At 42.6% G+C, this 24,853-nt stretch overlaps 1 protein-coding gene across 9 annotated transcripts in view; it reads left to right on the top strand.

The window, feature by feature from the left end:
- Positions 1-24,853, top strand: part of CERS3 (ceramide synthase 3) — a 144,289-nt gene that overhangs the window by 2,049 nt on the left and 117,387 nt on the right. For 6 of the 9 annotated variants that reach the window (NM_178842.5, NM_001290343.2, XM_011521357.3 and 3 more), the window contains exons 2-3: positions 13,560-13,822; positions 20,879-20,968. The gene's annotated coding sequence lies outside the window, so the exon portion shown is untranslated. Of the gene's footprint in view, positions 1-13,544; positions 13,823-20,878; positions 20,969-24,853 lie in introns of those variants that run through there. The other 3 variants (XM_017022002.2, NM_001378789.1, XM_017022004.2) reach the window with 3 other exon arrangements.

The raw sequence follows: 24,853 nt of genomic DNA, 5'->3' as shown, positions 1-24,853 counted from the left end.
TTATTTCCACAATTGGAACTATAGAAGAGTTCAGTGGTATTTTATGCACTAATTAGCTCCATGTTTTATATTTACTTTACATAGTATTAGCATGGCATGCATTTGAGTGTCTGATTTATCACACTAAGAATAGATCATTCCTGACTTGTAAGGAATGCAATGGCAGAATTGCTCCAATATGTGAGAACGGTCACTGTGGCGGTTGCCGATTATGGAAGCCATGAGCCATTATTGTTACCATGAAAATACGCATGATTTATACATTACTTCTACTGTTGCCATGCGTGACCAAATAAGGATCTTTTGCTTTACATTGTTTCTGCTGGAACAAAGTAAAGAAGTTCAACAGTCCAAGAGTTTTCTTTTCTAGTCCAGTTATTATGTTACTTTTTCAGAAAGCTTAGGATCTTGATAATAGTTCATTCCTGAGGCTGAAGGGGTTTCATTATTAACAAGTCAGATAATTTTCATTTCAGTTTTGATAAAAGATTTTTTTTTAATTTTGAGCAAAGGTTGAAGCACTTAATGCTTATTGTAATAATTAGTTTTATATTTTCTATTTTGATTGATTCATTGGTTGATTTTGATTTTAAGGATTTAAATAGCTGAAAGTATGGACCATATTTCTAGGAAATAATTTCCTGGTGTACCATTTATCCTCTAATGGTTACTCCAGACATTTAATTGTAAATGACTAGTATCCCATTTTGTAAATAGGCCTTGCCGAGAGTTTAACAGGATCAAGCAAATTATTTTTATTTTTACCATACTTACTGTTGTCATAACTGCTTTGATGAGAGCTCCACAAATGAATGAATGAACGTTATAATTTATTTATCTAAATATTGTGACATGTTACTACTTTTTAGTAAATTTAATTTTTATTCCATTTTTTAATAAGAGACTAATTTTTGGCAAGTTTATTTCAGGGAAGCTATGAGTCATCTGTCTGAACAAAGATAAGTGAATAGAAATCATCCTGTCTTACTGAACACGTTCAAACAGCACCCAACAAAGAAACAGGCTAGCTCACATCTAAATTTCTAATTCAAAACTGGTCCAGTACAACAGAGGTTAAAAAAACAAAGATTCCAGTTTCTTTCCAGTTTCCTTTTCCTTATTAAGGTCTTAGTAAAAGCCAGTGAGGAACACTTTTTTTTTTTAAGATGGAGTCTCGCTCTGTCACCCAGGCTGGAGTGCAGTGGCACGATCTTGGCTCACTGCAACCTCCGCTTCCTGGGTTCAAGGAATTCTCTTGTCTCAGCCTCAGGAGTAGCTGGGATTACAGGCATGCGCCATCACGCCCGGCTAATTTTTGTATCTTTAGTAGAGACAGGGTTTCGCCATGTTGGTCAGGCTGGTCTCAAACTCCCAACCTCAGGTGATCCACCCGCCTGAGGGACACTGCTTAACCAACTTAGTAAGTTATGGTTTTCTTCATATCTCTTAAGTGCCTTCCAAGATACTGGACCCCAGCATTTGCTGCTTGCCACGTAGCTCAGCTGATCTGTTGATAGACCCCCACAGAGGGACAGTGAATGTCTGCTGGCATTCAGGGATGCCCTAGCTTTTTCTAACCAAAGCTACAGACTCTCAGTAGCTGGAAAGCAGGGACGGTATCTGCCTTGTTCACTGCGATTTCTCTATTTTTAGACTCATAGAAAGTGCATAGTAAATCATTGTTGAATACATGAAAACACCAAAGAAAGAAGGAAGAACAGCAGGAGAAAGTATACGTAGCTTGAAACAAAGGGGGAGAGACATAATCTGCTCAGAGTTTGATATCATCCTCAGATAAGAGTGTGTTATCCACTCTTAACTAATACATTTGAGGGTCTCTTGTCAACCCAACAGTGTTTCTGGGGTGAGATCTGGGCTCATAGGATGAAGAGCTTACTGGAGTCAGAACACATACCTGTACGCGCACATAGGTACACGTGTGCCACACGCAACTCTGATCAAGTTGTATTGCAGAAGCAGTTTGTGCTATACTGTTAAAGAATAAGGCTGCATATAAAATGGGGCTAATGGTGTAATTTGGATAATTAGCATAAAGAGTTTAGGAAGAGAAAGGTTAATTTTTTTTTATTTGAGAGAGAGTCTTGCTCTGTCACCCAGGCTGGAGTGCAATGGCACGATTTCAGCTCACTGCAACCTCTGCCTCCTAGGTTCAAGCAATTCTCCTTCCTCAGCCTCCCAAGTACCTGGGATTACGGGCGCCTGTCACCACGCCCGGCTAATTTTTTGTGTTTTCAGTAGAGACAGGGTTTTGCCATGTTGGCCAGGCTGGTCTCGAACTCCTGACCTCAGGTGATTCACCCACCTCGGCTTCCCAAAGTGCTGGGATTACAGGTATGAGCCACTGCGCCTGGACAAGAAAGGTTAATCTGAGAAGCAGTTTCCCAGAGGAAAGGGATGGGACTTGGATAACAAGGGATCACAGATGGGGCCTGAGCCAAGGTCAGAGTGATCATAGCCAGTGGGCTCAACCAAAGGGGACAATAGTATTGGGTTTGGTGGACAGTAAGGTGGGGCACATGGGGTAGGGATTGAACTTCAGAGGGTGGTTTAGGAAATAGATAATCCTAGAAGTTTAGATTTAATGTAATCAGCATAAAGAAGTCATATTTCTGGAGCAAGAAAGTAATTTGATGGGGGCTGTGTTTTGAGATTACTTGGTAATAGCAAGCAGGAGGACAGCTCCCCCTCAGGACCAGAAAGGGAAGGGAAACAGCCTCCTAGGACTGCAATCTCAGCACCACTTTCAGTCTCACTGATGGCCAGCTCTCCTGGGATGCTTTGATGTCACAGAAGCAACTGATAAGGGGAAATGCATTCAGTTTTGATCTTCCCCTTGAGAGGGTCTGAAATGATCAAAGAGTGACCAAGCCTACCTGATATGGTTAATCTTTGTGTCCCCACCCAAATCTCATCTTAAATTATAATCCCCATAATCCACATGTGTCGAGGGAAAGACCAGGTAGAAGTAACTGAATCATGCTCTTCTTTCCCCCATGCTCTTCTCATGATAGTGAGCAAGTTCTCCTGAGATCTGATGGTTTTATAAGGGGTTCTTCTCCACTTCACTCAGCACTTTTCTTCCCTGCTGCCTTGTGAAGAAAGTGCCTTGCTTCCTCTTCACCTTCCACCATGATTGTAACTTTCCTGAGGCCTTCCCAGCCATGCCAAACTGTGAGTCAGTTAAACCACTTTCCTTTATGAATTACCCAGTCTTGAGCAGTTCTTTATAACAGTATGAAAATGGACTAATACAGTACATTAGTACTGCAGAGAGTGGGGTGCTGCTATAAAGGTACCCAAAAATGTGGAAGCAACTTTGGAACTAGGTAGCAGGCAGGGGTTGGAACACTTTGGAGGGCTCAGAAGACAGGAGGATGTGAGAAAGTTTGGAACATTTCAGAGACTTGTTGAATGGCTTTAATAAAAATGCTAATAGTGATGTGGACAATAAAGTCCAGGCTGAGATGGTCTCAGATGGAGATAAGGAACTTCTTGGGAACTGGAATAAAGTTGACTCTTGCTATGCTTTGGCAAAGAGGCTGGTGGCATTTTTCCCCTGCCCTAGAGATCTGTGGAACTTTGAACTTGAGAGAGATGATTTAGGGTATCTAGTGGAAGAAATTTCTCAAAAGTAAAGTGTTCAAGAGGTGACTTGGGTGCTCTTAAAGGCATTCAGTTTTACGCATTCACAAAGAGATGGTTTGGAATTGGAACTTATGTTTAAAAGAATTGCAGAGCATACAGGCTCAGAAAATTTGCAGCTTGATGATTCAATGGAAAAGAAAAAACTATTTTCTGAGGCGATATTCAAGCTGGCTGCAGAAATTTGCATAAGTAACAAGGAACCAAACGTTCATCACCAAGACAATGGGGAAAATGTCTCCAGGGCATGTCAGGGGTCTTAACAGCAGCTCCTCCAATTATAAGCCCAGAGGCCTAGGAGGAAAAAATGGTTTTGTGGGCTCGGCCCAGGGCCTGGCTGCTTCGTGCAGTCTCAGGACTTGGTGCCCTGCATGCCAGCCATGGTTAAAAGGGACCAACATAGAGCCCAGGCCATTGCTTCAGAGGGTGCAAGCCCAAAGTCTTGTAAGTTTACATGTGGTGTTGGGGCTGCAGGTGCACAGAAGTCAAGAATCAAGGTTTGGGAACCTCTGCCTAGATTTCAGAGGATGTATAGAAATGCCTGGATGTCTAGGCAGAAATTTGCTGCAGGAGTAGAGCCCTCATGGAGTACCTCTGCTAGGGCAGTGCAGAAGAGAAATGTGGGGTCAGAGTCCCCACACAGAATTCCCACTGGGGCATTGCCTAGTGGAGCTGTGAGAAGAGGGCTACCATCCTCCAGACCCCATAATGGTAGATCCATTGGCAGCTTGCACTGTGCTCCTGGAAAAGCCACAAACACTCAATGCCAGCCTGTGAAAACAGCTGGGAGCAGGGCTGTACCCTGCAAAGCCACAGGGACAGAGCTGGCCAAAATGACAGGAAACCACCTCTTGCATCAGTGTGACCTGGATGTGAGACATGGAGTCAAAGGAGGTTATTTTGGAACTTTAAGATTTAACTGCCCTGCTGAATGTCCAACTTGCATAGGGCCTGTAGTCCCTTTGTTTTGGCCAATTTCACCCATTTTGAATGGGTGTGTTTACCCAATGCCTGTACCACCATTGTATCTAGGAAGTAACTAACTTGCTTTTGATTTTACAGGCTCATAGATGGAAGGGACTTGCCTTGTCTCAGATGAAACTTTGGACTTGGACTTTTGGGTTAATGCTGGAATGAATTAAGACTTTGGGGAACTACTGAGAAGACATGATTGGTTTTGAAATGTGAAAGGGACATGAGATTTGGGAGGGGCCATGGGCAGATGATATGGTTTGGTTGTCCCACCCAAATCTCATCTTGAATTGTAATTTCCATAATCCTCACATGTCCATGGAGAGACCAGATGGAAGTAATTGAATCATGAGGGCAGTTTCCCCCATGTTGTTCATGTGATAGTGAAGGAGTTCTGGTGAGATCTGATGGTTTCATAAGGCGCTCTTCCCCACTTCGCTTGGCACTTCTCCTTTCTGCTGCCTTGCTTCCTCTTCACCTTTTGCCATGGCTGTAAGTCCCCTGAGGCCTCCCCAGTCATGCTGAACTGTGAGTCAGTTAAACCTCTTTGCTTTATAAATTACCCAGTCTCAAGCAGTTCTTTATAGCAGTATGAAAATGGACTAATACACTGCCAAACAGCCACAATGCTACACATGCTCACTTCAATCTCAAGCTTGGTCTACATTTCTCTAATGCCCTCTGGAACAACCAAATCTTTTGTTAATGAGAAGGCAGACAGTGTGAGTGTCTTTTTCTTGGGAATGGGTCATAGTTGGCTGACATTACAAACCTTAGCCTAGCTTGTGTTTTTCACAGGGCACCCCCTTGTGCTTTTTTAAAAATCCCACTAGAGAATTCACAGGCTGAAGAGAGAGTACCCCTTCTTGAGTGTCCTAGGTTTCCCAAGTAGTTCTCCCAGTTCTGTGTTAGCAAGTGGCAGGGTAGGATATGGGATAGGTGGTAGAATAGGAGGAAGAGGGAAAAGCTAGGTCATAATCTCCTTAAGATCAGGGACATTGCCTTCATCTTTGTATTTCAAGCACCTTGTGCAATACATGTGTCAGATGAATGATGGCTAGGTGAATAAGAAGCATTTTGTTTCCTCATTGTCCTGTTCAGATATGACATGTTATCAACAGCCCAGATATTATTCAGACACTCATCACCCTTTTACCTCCTTATTCCTCCTATCTGTTTAGTGGTGGTGCAACTCATATAAATATATTCAAAGCACATGGAACATTGACTGAGGTGCCCAGCCCAGTGTTCAGTAAAGGAATTGTGGATATTGAAGCTACTAAGTTCTATCTTCCAGACTAAGACAGTCACGGGATTGGTTATTTGGGGAGGTGGAAACTTTATCTGCCGACTTCTGTCCATTTCCTAATTTCATATTATGTAGTCTTAGCTCCTCATTTAAAATCCACAACTTAGGCCAGTCATGCTGGCTCATGCCTGTCATCTCAGCACTTTGGGAGGCCAAGGTGAGCAGTTCATTCGAGCTTAGGAATTCGAGACCAGCCTGGGCAACATGGTGAAACCTTGTCTCTACAAAAAATGCAAAAACTAGCCAGGCATGGTGGCATGTGCCTGTCGTCCCAGCTACTTGGGAGGCTAAAGTAGGAGGATCCCTTGAGCCCAGGAGGTTGAGGTTGCAGTGAGCCATGATCACACTGATGCACTCCAGCCTGAGCAACAGAGCAAAACCCTGTCTCAAAAACAAGCATAAAAAACAAAATGCACAACTTATTACTTCATGGACGTGGGATATGAAATAGTAAATCTTGAGAGTCAATCTTCTCTGTGGTCTTAATTCATGCTTAACATATGAGCATAGGAATATCCCCACTTCCCATGCACATATGAGCACAGGGATATCCCCACTTCCCGTGCACATATGAGCACAGGGATATCCCCACTTCCCGTGCACATATGAGCACAGGGATATCCCCACTTCCCGTGCACATATGAGCACAGGGATGTCCCCACTTCCCGTGCACATATGAGCACAGGGATGTCCCCACTTCCCGTGCACATATGAGCACAGGGATGTCCCCACTTCCCGTGCACATATGAGCACAGGGATGTCCCCACTTCCCGTGCACATATGAGCACAGGGATGTCCCCACTTCCCGTGCACATATGAGCACAGGGATGTCCCCACTTCCCGTGCACATATGAGCATAGGGATGTCCCCACTTCCCGTGCACATATGAGCATAGGGATGTCCCCACTTCCCGTGCACATATGAACATAGGGATGTCCCCACTTCCCGTGCACATATGAGCATAGGGATATCCCCACTTCACATGCACATATGGATACTTCTAATTCGTGCTTACATATGAGCATAGGGATATCCCCACTTCCCGTGCACATATGGATACTTCTAATCGTGCTTACATATGAGCATAGGCATATCCCCACTTCCCGTGCACATATGGATACTTCTAATCGTGCTTACATATGAGCATAGGCATATCCCCACTTCCCGTGCACATATGGATACTTCTTTCTGCACTTGTGTGAACACTTTTGCTCATCTGTGTGAGTGTGTGCTTGTGTCTGTTTTGGCAGTCATGCTATATTTTTATTCTTGACATCCTTAGCTCCTTCAAAAGATGTGATGTGCCTGGCACATGGTATGAACCCAGTAAATACTGGCTGAATGAGTTAATGACTGAACACTATGTTCAGAGAACAGTAATGCCTGCAACTTGGAAACTTTACACAATCCTTGTACTCAAAATTTAAGTGGAGAAACTAAGTCTATATGCATAAAATAAAGTCTGTTACAAAGTAACATAAGAATAAAATAAAATTAATTAAATATACTATGGATGCCAAAATCTGAGATAGGTCTCAGTTAATTTAGAAAGTCTATTTTGTCAAAGTTGAGGACACACTTGCATGACACAGCCTCAGGAGGTCCTGAAGACATGTGCCCAAGGTGGTAGGGGCACAGCTTGGTTTTATACAATTTAGGGAGACATGAGACATCAACACATGTAAGATGTACATTGGTTCAGTCTGGAAAGGTGGAACAACTTGAGGTGTAGGTGGGACAATTTGAAGTGGGGAGGGGACTTCCAAGTCATAGGTCGATAAGAGACAAATTTCAGAGTTGTAAAAACATTGAATGAGTTAGTATATTGAAAAGCACTTAGAACAATACCTGGCTCAGAGCAAGCACAGAGTGAATGTTAGCTGTGATTATGATTATAATTATGATGACTATAATTATTATTAGTATTGTGAAAGGAAAATAAATCTTGGGGCCCCAAAATCACTAAGCTAAAGGGAAAAAGAAACTGGAAATTGCTTAGGGTTTGCCCTAAGCAATTTGAGTTGCATTCTTTTGAGTTTCTGATTAGCCTCTCCAAATGAGGCCATCAGATGTGCATTTATCGCAGTGAGCAGAGGAGTGACTTTGAATAGAATGGGAGGCAGGTTTGCCCTAAGCGATTTCCAGTTTCTTTTCCCTTTAGCTTAGTGATTTTTGGGGCCCCAAGATTTATTTTCCTTTGACAATACTAATAATCATTATAGTCATCATAAGCATAATCACAGCTAACATTCACACTGTGCTTGCTCTGAGCCAGGTATTGTTCTAAGTGCTTTTCAATATATTAACTCATTCAATGTTTTTACAACTCTGTAAGTATCACTATTATTTTCCTCATTTTGCAGTTGAGAAACCTGAGGACTGAGAGGTTAAGTGACTTGTCTGGAGTCACACAGCTAAAAAGAATAAGGTCACATAGTGAGCACAAAATGGTATTGAGGGTTAGCAATGAACATTTTCTGGAGGAGGCAAGTTGAGTCCTGTCCTGTCCCATCACTGACAGCCACACCTGTAACCAGGGGCTGTATTCACAAATGGCCATTACCCATCTGGCCAGCCCTCAGAGGGAGTGGTGAGCTGAGAGAGACAGTCGTGTTGAGAGCCTGCTCACATGGTGACATGGTCTGGCCTGCATACAGCACTGCAGCCTTCCCAGAGTACATGCTAATTAATTCTAAGACTCCTTTGCATGAAGTTCTCAGTATTGACTAAACTCTTCAAGGGAAAAATCTCCCTATTTCCCAGCAAACTCAGAGTAGAGCTGACCTCCTTCATGACACAGCATACTGACTTCAAGTTTTGAAAGAACCCAGTGGGCTGGTCATGGTGGCTCACGCCTGTAATCTCAGCACTTTGGGAGGCCGAGGCAGGTGAATCACGAGGTCAGGAGATCGAGACCATCCTGGCTAACAGGGTGAAACCCTGTCTCTACTAAAAACACAAAAAAATTAGCTGGGGGTGGTAACACGTGCCTGTAATCCCAGCTACTTGGGGGGCTGAGGCAGGAGAATCGCTTCAACCCGGGAGGTGGAGGTTGCAGTGAGCTGAGATTGCGCCACTGCACTGCAGCCTGGGTGACAGAGCGAGACTCAAAAAAAAAAAAAAAAAAAGAGAGAGAGGGAAGGAAGGAAGGAAAGAAGGAACGAAAGAGAAAGAAAGAAAAGAAAAGAAAGGAGAAAAGAAAAGAAAAGAACCCAATGAATTGGTCCTCAAAAAGTAACTACCTACTGTGGTAGAGAGGAAGAGACACAATGGCAAATATATAGATACATAAATGTACTCTGTCAGCATCAAGTGTCAACTCTGTGCCAGGAACTGTTCTAACCCCTGGGGATTTAGCACTGAACACGGCAGACGAAAATTCCGTCCTCCTGAAGCTTACGTGGGGGAGAGGCAGATAAGAGATACAGTAAGTTAGAAGGTGACAGGTGACGTGGAGGAAAATGAAGCAGGAGAGGGGCTGGAGTTTGTAGGGAGGGAGGCCCCCAGGTGAGTCTGGATGCAGGAAAGCAGTTGTCCTCCCGACTAATTTGACAGCAGAGGGTCTTCTCCTCAGTTTTCTCACTTTCTCACCAAGTGGCCTCTCAGGTTATCCGGCAAAGAGACTTTCAACCCTGGGCCAGGATGAGTGTGGAAGCGGAGTGGAGCGGGGAAGGGAAGATGAAGTTCAGGTCCTCTCATCCTATAATCCATGTGGGGATCTAGAGGCATCATTGTGGCAGGGAGGAGAGATGACTTTATGACAATAAGACATAGGCTTCACATTTGAGCGGGGTAGGTATTGATCCAGGGATATGAAGATGGCTAAGTCATGTCCCTTGAGAATTCCCAGTGTAGTGGGGAACCACTTGTGAAGACATTTGCTTGTTTCATTTTATCCAACAGGAGCTTTTCCACACACTTCTTTAAAGAATGCAGTTTGGTCTTACTCTGTCGCCCAGTCTGGAGTGTATTGGGCCGATTACAGCTCACTGCAACCTTGACTTCCCAGGCTCAGGTGATCCTCCCACCTCAGCCTTCCAAGTAGCTGGGATCACAGCTACCATACCCAGCTATTTTTTTTTTTTCTTGTAGAGACAGGATTTTGCCATCTTGCCCAGTCTGGTCTTGAACTCTTGGACGCAAGCAATCCTCCTGTGTTGGCCTCCCAAAGTGCTGGGATTACAGGCATGAGCCATCGCACCTGGCAGTTTGGTAGCATTTTGACTTAAATTTCTGTCTGTGGACAAATAGCATTTGAAACGTCTATGAAAATGATAAGATAAAACATGAGAAGAAAACAGTTTGTTGATAGTAAAATCTCAAAAATTTTGCCGGTTAGGTTAAGAACAATAGGGCAAAAACTGTATATGTTAAGTTTCTTGGAAGGGATTCCTTCCTTTGAGGGAAAAGCCTGTTGATTCTTACGTTTTCTTCTCTACGAAATTAGGTTAAGGATCGGCTGAAAGCATAAAATGCAGCTTAGAAGTTGCCCGCTTCCCCTTCTTCCCCATCTACACCCATGCAACTGTGGGACCTCTGCCCTTGGCTAGGAGAGCTTTTGGCACTGTGTCTTGCTGCTGGCGCCCAGACTCAATTTTCCTGCATCCGGCTTACTGTGTTTTCCTCTTCTAGTTCCTAAGTGGCTCTCCAGAACCTTGACTGGGTTTGTCTCTGGTCTACACTTCTCCTATCCCTCTCCTTCCCAATTTACTAGGTGAAAGGCACCCGGTACCCGCTTTGTAATGCACCCCTACTGCTCCCGACAACACCTCTCCACTGTCATGCTTAATTGTCTACATTTCATTTGTCAGAGGTCCGACGTTCACTTTTTAAAATGCAATGAATCATTAACATGCTAATAAGTGATTTAATATCTATTAATGAGGATTCGCAATATAAAACTGATTTAATGTCTCAACTCACTGCTTCCGTTTTCTCATAAAAGGAAACAGCTAAGTACTACCTAGGAGAAATGATACCCACGTGCATGCATCTTGCTCTTTCCTTTAATGCTTCCTGGGGTTCTATCTTTTCTCTTAGCAATGCACTGATACATTTATGGTGAGGCACAAGTAAGAAAGAGAAGAAAAAAGGAATCACCTTAGGAATCCTTGAGATAACCATATTTGCTTTGTTTTCAACTCCACACACAGCCTATTTCCTGCCCTGGGTTATTTTCCTCAGAGGAGCTGTGGAGATGACTAGACTTACACATAGGTCCACAGCTCCCACAAAGTCTTCACCAGCAAACCCTCCGAGTTCCTCACTCCCACAGCTCCCACAAAGTCTTCACCAGCAAACCCTCCGAGTTCCTCACTCTCATTCCTCTAGCACAAGTTGTGCAATAGCCTCATTTTTACATCTTGCCCCTGAAGAAGGGGGAAGAATTACACCTTGACAGTGACTCAAAAAAGACAGCAGATGCTGACGGGGTTCTTTTGATTAACAGGAGTTATAGAACTATGTCTAAATAGTTCCGATTTGATTTGAACATTATATTTTATCAGCAAATAACATGTGTTTCATTGTAGAAGTAACTAAAACAAAGCATGAAAACATGTGGTTCTACAATATTGGTTTTTTTGTTTTTTGTTTTTTGTTTTTTTGAGACAGGAGTCTCACTCTGTCACCCAGGCTGGAGTGCAGTGGAGTGATCTTGGCTCATTGTAACCTCTGTCTCCTGGGTTCAAGGAATTCTCCTGCCGCAGCCTCCCGAGTAGCTGGGATTACAGGCGCCCACCACCATGCCCAGCTCATTTTTTGTATTTTTAATAGAGATAGGGTTTCACCATGTTGGCCAGGCTGGTCTCAAACTCCTGACCTCAAGGGATCCTCCCACCTCGGCCTCCCAAAGTGCTGGGATTACAGGTGTGAGCCACTGTTCCCAGCCTGGTTCCCCAATATTCTTTTGGCTTGTTTAATTCTGAGTAAGAGAGTCCAAAATAGGGTTCAGGACATTCTTTTCCCGAGATATCCCCGGAGTGAAAATGAGTGTTGGATGATCACTATTTTGGGTACTAATTGTTTGACCAGTATTGAACAGCTGAGCTCCAGGGGTAGAAAGAGATCTAAGGCTTGTCCAGTGAGGATTCCCAAAGTAGTGGGGAAGCAGATACAAAAATCAGTTAAGTTGTGATAGAGTAGTAGGTGTTGCAATAAAGGTATACCCACAGAACAGAGAGGGCCGAGGCTAGGGAAGCTTGAGCAGGATTCAGACTTTCATTAGGCACAGAGGCGAGAGAGCAGCTCATGGCAAGGGCCCAGAAGCTGCCCACTGTTGTGTCTGGAATCTAGTGGGAAAGGGCAAAAGGAAGTCCTGGAGCAGCAGGTTGCGAGCAGGCCATTGTGCCAAGGAGTCTGGTCTTGATCCTATAGGTAGAAGGTGGCTGGTAGAGTTTAATCAGCAGAAGAAAAAGAAATGAGAATGGGAATGTGAGTTAGGTGACAATTGGATGAAGATGGAAGCCTCATGTCAGGAAACCAATTCTGCAGTGGTCTCCTGGCAGAAGGTGAGGCAGACCTGAACTGAGCCTACCTCGGTTAGTGGCCAAGTCTGCTTTAAATTCATCCCTTCTGCCAGATGGTTTTAAAAATGCATGAGCCCATTACTGAAAAACAGAACGTCTTCGAAGAGAAAGGCAGACCGGGAAGCCCTGAGTGAGAAGTACCCAGTGAAAGGAAGGGCGTTTATCAATCCTCTCTCTTTGAACTAAATTCATTAGTGAAATCTGAGAAACTTTGGAGCTTTAATGAATTTGAAACTGGTGTTTCCCTTTATCTGCATCTAGTCCATTTTTAATTTGCGGTCATCTATTAGCTGATGAAAAAAGAAAAATGTCTTTCAGCAGTTGAAGACAGCTAATGAGAATCAGGCTCTCAGTGTGGGCGGTACTGCTGATGTTTGGTTTGTGAGAGATACAGGAATCAACTTGTTGAAGCTCTCTACTTGTCAGAGCACCTTTAAATAATCCAAGCCCAGAGTTGTTTCATCTTCAGGCAAGAGAAAGTGAAAATGGCTTCAAAGGTACAATATCTCAAATAAACACTATAAAATGCATCCACACTTGCCTTTGAAATTGTAGTGGTTCAAGCACACAGAGACAAGCAACAATGTTTATTTCCTGATACTAATGAGCTTGTCTGTCTTTGTCTATGATGATTGTTCTTAGAGACAAACAAATAAAAATGCGAATTATATCTGACTGTTCTAAGAAGAAAAGATTGCCAGACTATTGTATTTTTTGGCAGTTATATGCTTCAAAAAACTGATCGTTTTCTCAATTCCTAGGAAGCGGGCAGAGAAATCACATTCCTGTGGACCAATGCTCCTTAGTGGATGAGTTTTGTGGCATGGTGGTGATTTAGTTAGTAAGAAGCCCTGCCTGTTTTCTGGAGAGTACTATACTTGTCGAACCAGCTCCTAGGACAGTACAGGGTTGTGACTGGTGTTTTGGGGTTCTCTCTGCGCATAAGCCCTTTCCTTTTAATACAAACAGCAAGATCATCCTGTTCAGCAGTTGACAGATGACTGTGTGCACCAAAAGGCAACAACGATGAGGCAACTGATGCATTTGTAACTCAATGTCTCACTGAATTCCAGCTTTCTTTTCTCAAGGTGGTGAAACAGGAAGCAACATCCCATCAGGAAGAACCTGAGGGTGCCATCCAGTAGCTTCGCCTCACGTCACTGACTGCCCTCAGTCAGAAATCTTGACTCGCAACTTTGGAGGGTGGGTCTCTGAAGGAATTTCAGGTCTTACACAGAGATGAGTTGTGCTGCTCTCTGAGGAGAACGAAGCTGGTTGGAACGTTGGAAGCTGCTCTCTGACTACACTTCACAAGCAAGGGGCACCTTTTGTGGACTGACATTTCAGAAAGGTAGGCGCCATCCCATGGATGTGGTTAGTATTTGAGGACTTTCAAAACCAAGGTGGCCGTGATTCCGCGTGTGAGCTTGTGTGTGTATGTGTGCCTGGGTGCGTAACAGAGAGGGAGAGGAGATGGAGATTGGGGGAGAGGCGGACAAATGAAGAAATGTTCATTTTTGGTCTGATGTTTGGGAGAAATACAGAAAAGACAGACTTGGGGCCCTTTGCTTTGTAGAGTTTTGCTTGGAAGTGTTTAGTAGTAGAGGGTAAATTTCGAGTCCAAACTTCCACTCCTGACCTGCATTGCTCTCGGGCGAGTTTAAACTGATTCATTGAGGGTTAGGAAGAAAGGTCTGGGCAGTGAAATCACACACGGCTGAATGCTCAGCATAGCTTGGTTTATCAGGAAAGCCCTGAATCCAGGTGGAATGAAAGGGGTCAGCACAGATCTTTGCCAGGTGGCAAAGGCCATTTCAGACCATCCCAGAGTGCCTTAAGCTGAGAACAAGGTGGGACTTGCTCACCCCACAGTGGCAGGCCTTCCTAAGCTGCTTCTGTCTTGAGAGATGTAGTGCTCAATGTCATGCCAGGAGAAATTAGCTGTTCGGTTCTAAGGCTGCCAGTCTCATGCAGAAAAGTGAAACAAAATCAAACTACTTTTTCTGATCCAAGCAAATGTTTAGCAAGAATGTTCTGTTAAGCATTTTTATTTTTTTGAAACCTTTACACAAAACAAGGGAAATAAAGCTTTAGGGCTGACCAGATAATGAATTTTAATTTATTCATTAACCCACAATGTTCAAGTGCCTTCTCTACCTTAAGTGAGTGTTTGACTTTAAACTTCACATTTTCATTGCCTTCCCCCCTACAAGCCTTTTGTTTTTCTTAAAAGGGGTTTCCATTTATAATTTCTTCAGTAGAATTTCTGGATAAAAAGTTCTTTAAAGAGAAAATATGTATATGTTCAAAAAGGTAATAATTATGTGGCCCTCTCATTCACAATATTTCTGCCTTTTTCTAAAATATCAATCAAATTGATTTACATAAGTTTGAAGATCATTCTGGGCTAATAATAATCTACATTTACTAAGTCCTTGCTGTGTGTACGTGCATTTTCCCCTTTAGGGCTCATGATACGCCACTTTCAGACGAGGAATTGAGGCTTAGTGAGATTTACAGTGGTACAGTAGGGATGTGAGAAAGCCACAGCTTTATTGCATTTCTGCACACTAAGATATATGATTTCAGCTCATTCTATATTCCCATTCTATTCCATTAACCCCCTACAGGGTCCTTGTGTGGAGGGATTCCTGAAGCTATGATAATATTCAAATACTCGAATTTGGTGTCTTATAACAAAAGGCCAAAATCAATCAATCAATCTATCACCTGCTTCTGCTGTTGGAGGAAGGCTTGGTGTGGTGGACAGAACATTGACTAGAAAGACAGATCAAAATTCAAATTCCTGCATCCTGCTTACTAACTATGACCCTGGCAAGTCACTGAAATTCCTTTTTTATTTTTTTGAGATGGAGTCTTGCTCTGTCACTGAGGCTGCAGTGCAGTGGCATGATCTTGGCTCTCTGAAACCTCTGCCTCCTGGGTTCAAGCGATTCTCGTGCCTCAGCCTCCCAAGTAGCTGGGAGTATAGGCATGTGACACCACACCTAGCTAATTTTTTTGTAGTTTTAGTAGAGATGGGGGTTTCGCCATGTTGGTCAGTCTAGTCTCGATCTCCTGGCCTCAAGTGATCTGCCCACCTCAGCCTCCCAATGTACTAGGATTCCAGGCATAACCCACCACACCTGGCCTCAGTGCAATTCTTCAAATCTCAGTTTCCTTATTTATAAAATAATTATTATAACATCCATCAAACGAGGTTGTTTATTATAAGACATAAAAAGGCAGGGTATGTCAAATGCCTTCCATAGGACCTGACAGAGGGTAGGCCCTTGGTAAACAGTATTCATTTCCCCATTTTGCAGTGATTTCTTCATGCTCTTGACATGTTGGATCCTGTTCTAGGATTGGGGGTATCACCAGTGAACAAAGCAGACAAGTCCCTGCCCTCAGGGAGTTGCCTTTCCACTGGTACTTGTTCCTTATATCCTAGTGTACTTTCTTGGGAAATCACTTTGTGATTATCTTTCTTTGTGGAGCTGATCCAGCTTTCAAACAGCCTCTTAAAGTAATGAATGTCCTATGCCAAAAGTCCCCCAAAGCATAGTAAAATCAAGCAAAAAGCAAGAACATCAGATACTTCTTTTTCAAAAGTCAGTTTGTTGTGGTAGGCCAGGAAAGTTGTTTTTACACACACACACACACACACACACACACACACACAGTTTATGTAGGTTTTCCCTGGCCTCCACACCACAGCAGAAGCACTGCCAGGAGCTGGCAGAGTGCTCATGGGAGGAGGGTGCTGGGCTGGCTCCAAGGGAGCTCCCTCCGCTCACAGAGCACGGAGTGTATCGTGGCAACTGTTCATTTATCTTGGGCCCCAAGCCATCCACACAAGAAGCTTGGACTTTCCAAGCCCTCCCCAACACGAATTTATGGGATGCGATGCAAAGATTGACCTGCAGGTGTACACCTTTATAAGGATGGATTTGGGACAAAAACGATTGACTTATGTTTTGGCAAAAAGCCTGCAGTCAAGTTCATCAAGTAGGCCAGCTGGCATCAAGAATGGTGTTTTGGCAATCTATCTCTATGTTTGAATCCAGAGAAACTGCAGATCATAGCAGAGAGATAGCAGAGGGGAACACAGAGAAGCTCTCTCTGGAATCAGATGCAGGTAGATTCTTCTTTCTCCTGGAAACACCTCAACACACAATACAACGATCTAATTGATCTTATACAGCCCGAGTTTATGGTTTTATTTACTGGATGGACCCAGGATGATTGAAAAAATCCTTGTGCCAACACTAGACAGACCAGACAGTTGGCAGTATGAAAGAAGGCATTCTAAAGTAGTGGGACTTACTTTCCTAAGTCCTGTGCAACAATCAAGCCCATCATTTTACAGCCATGCTGTATGTGCTGCCTTAAGATTTGTCCTTGTAGCTGGAATTTACAATGATGAAAACATAAATGAAGCTAAAAGTCTAATTAAAATAAATAAATTAGGGCTTATGTATAAAAACCCCAATTGGCAAGTGAACGGAGAGATTAAGAATCTTTGACCTTGTAACAAAACTGTAACAGCCACAATTCTCCACAGGGCTTTCTGTTGATGGTGGACAGATGTTCAATTGTAAATGGGCTTCAGTTAGATCACTTCCAAAGGTTGTTATTATCATAATTTCAAGGCTGAGAATTTCCATTAATAAATAGAAAATAGCTCTGATAAGAAGGAGATTTGGCTTGGATGTCCATGAAACAAATTTTACCTTTCCCAAATATGAGAATTTAAAATTTCTTCATCTGTGAGTATCTTCCTGCTACTTAAATATAAAATTAAAGGGTTCTGGTTATTTATTTTTTTGGCCTACCTGCCCACTGGAAAATCTGTGGAGATGATTTGTGCTGGTGGTGGATTATATGTTTCAATCTAATGGAAAGTTTCCTCTTTATTGTTTTCTGAGTTAAATATTTAGGAAATACCAGGAAACTAAGATATTTAACCAAAATTCCCAAATCTGTCTGCTCAGGATTGGTAAACACACACTCACATTCATACACATGTGTGTATGTGCATAATATGAAAACACAACCAAAAGATGCATACATTTCTCATTAATGGAAAAAGTGTAAAATTCACAGGTAAGGCATATATTTAGGTTATTTGGAGAGGTAAAATATTACATTAAGGAGCTTGAAACCACTTTTACTTACTATATTCAGGTTCTAAGATGAAGTACTTAGTGAAGAAAAATCATATGTGATAATCCATTTAATTCTCTGCTGGGATAAGGTCTATTTGTTTTATTTTGATTTCTTTGCCAGACATATTTTACTGGATAGTCAATAAATACTTGTTGATTAGATTGACCCTGACACAGGCTGAACAATAAACTAATCATTTCAAAATTTAAGCAAAAAATTCTGAAAACATTTTCTTCAATAATGAAGATTACTTGACATCATTTAATAACTAACTTGGCTTCAATTTCTTCCCCTCAAAGTTTGTTTTCTTGTTTGACATATGATTAAAAACTTTAAAAACATACAACATGCTGATGCTGAACAAATGTCAAATTCTGCAGATTAGCAATTTTCATTTGTAATGTTCACATCAGAGGATCATTACTATATTCCACTTTGGGTCAAAGTTACAGGGTTTCATAATGAGCTATTCCTATCCCATTAGCTGTAACTTGCTTTACCTGGCTTGATTCCAACAGAGATCCGCCTTATGTGGAATTCTGGACTATAACTAATTGTGTAAGAGTAAAACTTCAGAGCTTTTCTAGATGATGACTATAAAATCGTATGCAACTTGAATTTTCCTAAGTGGTTGTTGTGTAGATTACACTATTGCAGTGATTTTCAAACGTTTTTAACCATTACTGTTAGTAAGAAATACTTTTCAGATCTCAACTTAGGACATATATACACACACAATTCTGAAATAATAGTTTCATAAAACAATACTTATAGGTATTGTTTTCTATTTCATTTCATTACACTCTACAACATTTCTGGTCATAACCGACTAATTAATTTTGTGACCTACTGGTAGTGGTTCTCAATACTGTCTGAAAATTAAAATCAACTAGGGAACAATAGACCAATGGAATGGACTAAGATGCTAGAAAAAAAACCTCCACAAATTTGGACCTTTGATTTATGACAACATTGGTACTACAGGAAAGGACAGACATTTGAATGTCCATGTACAAATAAATGAGTCTTGATTCTCATCTTAAAATTCATACAGCTCTAAGTATTAATCTAGATGTGACAGGTAAAACAATATAACTTCTAGATCTTCACTGTCCAATATGGCAGCTGCTAGCCACATGTGGCTATTGAGTACCTGAAATACTAGAAAATTTAAAATTACATATGTTACTCCCAGTTTTCTTCCTACTGAACAGCATTGTTCTAGATGACAAAACAGAATATATGTATGACCTTGGGTAGACAGTGATTTCTTTTTTTTTTTTTTTTTTTTGAGATGGAGTCTTGCTCTGTTGCCCATGCTGGAGTGCAGTGGTGCAATCTCCGCTCACTGCAAGCTCCGCCTCCTAGGTTCCTGCCATTCTCCTGCCTCAGCCTCCCAAGGAGCTGGGACTACAGGCGCCCACCACCATGCCTGGCTAATTTTTTGTATTTTTAGTAGAGACAGGGTTTCACCGTGTTAGCCAGGATGGTCGCAATCTCCTGACCTTGTGATCTGCTTGCCTCAGCCTCCCAAAGTGCTGGGATTACAGGTGTGAGCCACTACACTTGGCGATTTCTTAAACAAGATACAATAAGTACTAACATGATGAAAAAGATCTGTAAATTGGTTATGTTAAAAATAAGGACTTCTGTTTCTCAAAGCATACCACTAAAAGAGTAAAAGACAAACTGCAGGAGAGGAGACATTTGCCATGCAAATAACATGTAAGGAGTCATGCATATAACATGACTTGTTATGCATGTAACAAACAAGGAGTCCTATCCAAAACAGAAACAAGGCAATTTTGAAAGATAGACCGCCACAACAGAAAAATGGGCAAGAGGTTTGAACAGGTACTTCACAGAAAAACATATTCAGACAGCCAAGAGACTTGAAACATACTCAACCTTGTTAGCTTTCTGGGGAATGCAGATTAAAACTGCAATGAAGTACCACTACACACCCACCAGAAAGGTGAAAATTTAAAAGACAGACAATAGAAATTTTGGCAAGGATATTAAACCACTGGAACTCTCATACGTCACTGGGAGGAGTGTAAATAGTCACAACAGCTTTGAAAAACTGTTCAGCAATATCTGTTAAACTGAATATACATATGCCTTATGACCTGGCGTTTCCACTCCCAGGTATATGTTCTACAGAAATGCATTCACGTATTTACCTAAAGCATGTTCAAGAATGTTCAAGAATGTTCATAAATGGCACCTTGAAGTGTTGTAATCCCAAACTCAAAACAACCCATATTTCCATCGACAACAGAATGGGAACACAGATCGTGATATAGTGATATAGTCATGGGATGGAATATTAAAAGTCAACGAAAATGAGTTTGCTACTGTTACATGCAACAACATAGATGCATCTCAGTTCTAAAAGTTGAGTGAAAGAATCCAGATGCCAGGAATGTGCTCAAAACAATCGTATTTACATAAAGTTCAAGAACAGGCAACACGGATCCATGGTGGTGACAGGGAGAGGCATGAGGAAGAGTCTGGGGTGCTGGTCATATTCTTTTGTGCTTTGTTTCTTTACCATCTGTATGTTATACTTCAATAATTATATTACAGTAACAATACAGCAGTGACAATACTGATACCAGGACTGCACCTTCAGAGATCTTGGTTTAGTTGATCTGGTTAGGTAGAAAGCATGGTCAAAAAATCTCTCCCAAGGAATTCACATGTAGAACCAGGGTTGGGAACCAGTGCACTAATGGTTTACAACTGGTCCTTTGAAAACCCATGTGCTATGACAAACTGTAATTGTTACACCAGGCTGTGCTAGGCCCTTATTATCTCTGTTCAAGTTACACTGACTTGACGACATAATTCATATTGAGAAATGTTAGCAACATAAGGAGTCACAAAGTTAACTGACCTAGAAAGCCGGTCAGGTGCCTGAAAACAGTTGGCCAGGTTGGTAAGCGTGTGTTCCATTTAAGGGCTCCAGTGATTCTTGCCAGTCTTCTGAGTTTCTGAGTGAAGCTGCAAATCTGGATTTCTATGTGCAAATTCTTGAATTTTCAGTGTTGGCTCAAATTGTTTTAAAGCCCCATGCACCAGTCCAAACTGATTGGTAGACCCAAATTTGCCAGCACCAAGCTCTCCCGTTGGTTTGAAACTCTGACTTAAGTTTTAGACCTATTATAGAAGGACGCTTATGGGCACAGTTGTGTAATATATTAATTATGTTTCTCTTTTTCTGCTTCTTTAGGGATGTTGTGAAACAAAAGCTGACATTTATATATATATACATATATACAGTATTTGAGTTCCTCAGTAGAAAGCTATCATATATACTCAGGTAATTATCTTTATTTTATTTTATTTTACCTCTACTGTGTTTTCTTAACTATAATCTTGGGAAATTAACATCTGTGACTCAGAAGTTGATATCTGGCATTGTTTTGCATATTCTGGGGACAAGTGGAGTTTGGGCAAAGCCAGTACCATGCTATTCTTTATGAAATACTATAGATTTGTATTCTTTCCTTTTGAAAGCGGAGATGCAGGAGAAAGCTTCATGTGACAGCAGCAGGTAGCAAAGAGCCATCAGGGGGTGGCATTTGCTGTCTGTGCTCTGGTCTTCCACCCCCATAACACCTGCTGTTCTGATGGGAAGGAAGGAAGAGCTGGCTGTGCTGGGCAGGTCTCTAGCTTCCAGCGTCTTACCTGTAAGGAGAAACTTTCAAAACCACATTCCTTCAAAATCATAAAATATGACCCCAAATGATAAAAAATCATCATTTGTACGAGGAAGAGTCATTCATGAAGCATGTTCGCAAATATTGACTTGATGAAAGGCAAAGTCAGGTAACGTAGAGGGGAGGAGTTGCACTTTTACCGTTAATGCCTAAATTTGAGTCTGGCTCTGTATCACCTTGAGCAGTCACTTTATCTCTCTAAACTTCATTGTTCACCTGCAAATTGGAAGCATGCATAATTATTATTGTTGTAAGGATTCAATGAGTGTGGGTGCAACATTGTAAGCTGTGGTATGTACAGTTGTTCGTTATAATTTTAATCATCTTATTTACTTTTTGTAACGGTCTGTGAAAAGCTGGTATTATTATTCCCGGTTTTGACCTGCAAGAACCGGATATTCATGCTGCTGGATGCCTGATCCCAGGTCTATGCTCTCCCGGCACCAGCTGTGCTTGCTGACACAGAGCTTCCCCTCCTCCCCACCCTGCCCACTCCTAGTGGGACAGTGGAGGGCTCAGGCAGAAGGGGCTCCCATCCAAGGCAACACTCTGCCTTGGGCCTGTCATTTTCTACACCTTACCAAAAGTTTTGCTAAACAGCAAAGGCAGTTTATCACACATGTATTTTCCCAGCCTGCTTTTTAGTGAAGGTGACAGTGGTGAAGAGGTAGCCTACTGGGAGGAAGAGAAGGAGGAAGCATTATAAGCCACAGAGTGAAGAAATACTTCCTGCTCACAAAGAAAGTGCTCGCTGTGAGAAGGAGCAGTTCAGCGGGGCCTTCAGGAGTCACATGAAGACTTCTGTCTTGGTCATGCTACCAGCCCCTCTGGTGGCTACACAGCCCGAACAGATCTTTGGCTTCCAGAATTCACAGGAATTCTGGAGGTTCAGACCTATCCCAAGGCCCTGTGGACAGGCCTACCCCTAACATTTGCAGGACACAGGGCAAGAATACAAATGGAGGCACCAGCCCTCAGCTGGGCCCTGTCTTTCCTCCCAGCCTCACTTATGTCCTGCTCTGCTAGGAGCCTGATGTGCATGTGTGTGGCCACTGCATGCTACGTCCCCTGCCTTCCCCTCCCCAAGTCTTCTTTGGGCCTTCTCCAGGCCTAGCATTATGCTGTGCTGTCACTTTTAAGAGGACAGACCTAGAAAGGGGCCCATGCAGGTCCTGGAAGTGGGCTCAGAGCTGCTCAGGCAGGGAATTCTAGGATCCTTGATCACCTAGCAAGTCTGGAAAGGGGGCATGGATGTGGGTGTACATGTCTCCTTGAACCTATGGACTCCTCACCCAAGGGAGAAGTGAGGCCAGAGGAGGGCCAAAGGGGGCTCTTTTAAATTAAAGCCAGATGTAAGGGTGGGGCTGCTCCTGAGGATCAAGCACAGGGTCCTGGTACACAGTTGGCACTTAATCATACCTTTGACTGTTGTGTGACAGAGGGACAAAGGCTGAGCAATTTCAGAATTGCTGTGGAATATCTAAGTATTGCTCTTCTTCCACCTCCATGCTCCATAAACATCGACCTAGCAGCATGGCAAAGGTTGGAGTGGCTGGGATTTCATAAGATGGCAGATGAGTAACATTCCCAACCTTGTGTACTAGCAGGAAGAGCAATTTACTGAGAAACAGCTTCACTGGGCAGGGAAGAGAAACAATCCAAGGCTTTCCCTCTCCCCAAACAAGAGGACATCACTGGGGCTCAGATGGGTGGCGTCTCTTGGTATATTTTTAGAATCCATGTAGGTTTAGTGTCTTTCGTATGTATATTCCAGGGAGTAGCTGGTATATTTGAAGCTGAATATCATATGACCCTTCCGTTCACTTTTTTTTCAGAACATTTCTTTCCTTTAGAGCAACCTAAAGACATCTATATTTAAATTTCATGAACATGAATAACATCGAGGAACTCTGAATCCCCTCACACAGCACCCAGAGCTGCTGCTGGAAGGTGGGGATGGGAGTGAAGGGGGTCAGAGTGGTCACTTCAACTCCAAGTCCACCTCAATCACTGTCTCATCTCCAGGGTTCTCCTCCACAAAATGTGGACGTGTGATTCACAGTAGCACTTTGGCCAAGTATATTTTTTGGCGGATTTTTTTTTTTTTTGAGATGGAGTCTCTCTCTGTCGCCCAGGCTGGAGTACAGTGACGCGATCTCAGCTCACTGCAACCTCCGCCTTCCGGGTTCAAGCGATTCTCCTGCCTCAGCATCCTGAGTAGCTGGGATCACAGATGCGCACCACCACGCCCAGCTAATTTTGTATTTTTAGTAGAGACGGTTTCACCATGTTGGTCAGGCTGGTCTCGTACTCCTGACCTGGTGATCTGCCTGCCTTGGCCTCCCAAAGTGCTGGGATTACAGGCATGAGCCACCACACCCAGCCAGGTGGAATTTTTTAAAATAAAATATCCAATAAGTCTTACAGAAAGCATTTTAAAAAGAAGGCTTAGGAACACATTGACCCCAAATGAAGATCAATAGAGCAGAATCAGAAGATCACATTGCCACATGTTTGATCCCCCAGGGAAAAGGAGCTGATAATGTGCCTGGTGTGGTGTCGAGCTAGGAAATCCTGTGTATGTTAGCACAGTATCGTCTCACATTCACACCAGCTGATTTTCACTAATAGGCAGAGAGATGACGTGAAAATTGTGTAAATGCATATTGACAGAAATTTAAGGATACTCCTTTGAAAGAATGTGTATTTGAAAAGTCTGGAAATTTTTATTTTTAAATAATATGTTACATTTTCAAACAATATGCCCAAGACTTTTTCTGCCAGACATCTTTGCAAGTGAAGTATCTGTAAATTCAGTCATAGATTTAATCATTAATCAAAAAAATTGAATAAATGAAATTTATTCTCTAATGTTCCAGGCACCGCAGATATCCTGTATGAGCCATGCTCTCTCTCTCTCTGTCCTTCTCTCTCTCTGTGTCCCTGTCTCTCTCTCTCACTCTCTGTGTGTGTCTCTCTCTGTCTCTTTCTCTTTGTCCCTCTCTCTGTCTCAGTCATTCTGTGTTTGTCTTTGTCTATCTCTCTGTCTCTGTCACCCCCTATCTATTTAAAATCGGGGTGTTTTACATTTTTTTCTTTAAGAGGATTCTTGCATTAGACAGGGCTAGACAGAAAAGACTAGCCTTTTTCCAGTATGAGGTCTTACGATTTATTTTCTCTTGGTGAGTAGTTAGCAAGGGCTGGTGATCACTGACAGAGGGAGCAGCTGCCCTGGCCAGAGAGATGAATGACCCATCCCCATTTGCTCAAGGTAGAAAACAGTAACTATTCCAACAGGTGCCTAATCCCCCAGCCCAATGCCATTGGCCCTTGGCCAGAGATATTGCTCTAACTTTTCTTGTGATTTCGGAGTCTGAGAAGAAAGCAGTTGAGACTATATTTGGGGATGTTTTTCTGCACTCCTGCACCATTTCCCTGCCTCTCCTGTAAACGCTCACACCCACTGCACCCCACCCTCCTCCAAG

Source organism: Homo sapiens, chromosome 15 (assembly GCF_000001405.40).
Source record: "Homo sapiens chromosome 15, GRCh38.p14 Primary Assembly".
NCBI classification, from domain to species: Eukaryota; Metazoa; Chordata; class Mammalia; order Primates; family Hominidae; genus Homo; species Homo sapiens.
This window is presented reverse-complemented; position numbering and strand designations above follow the sequence as displayed.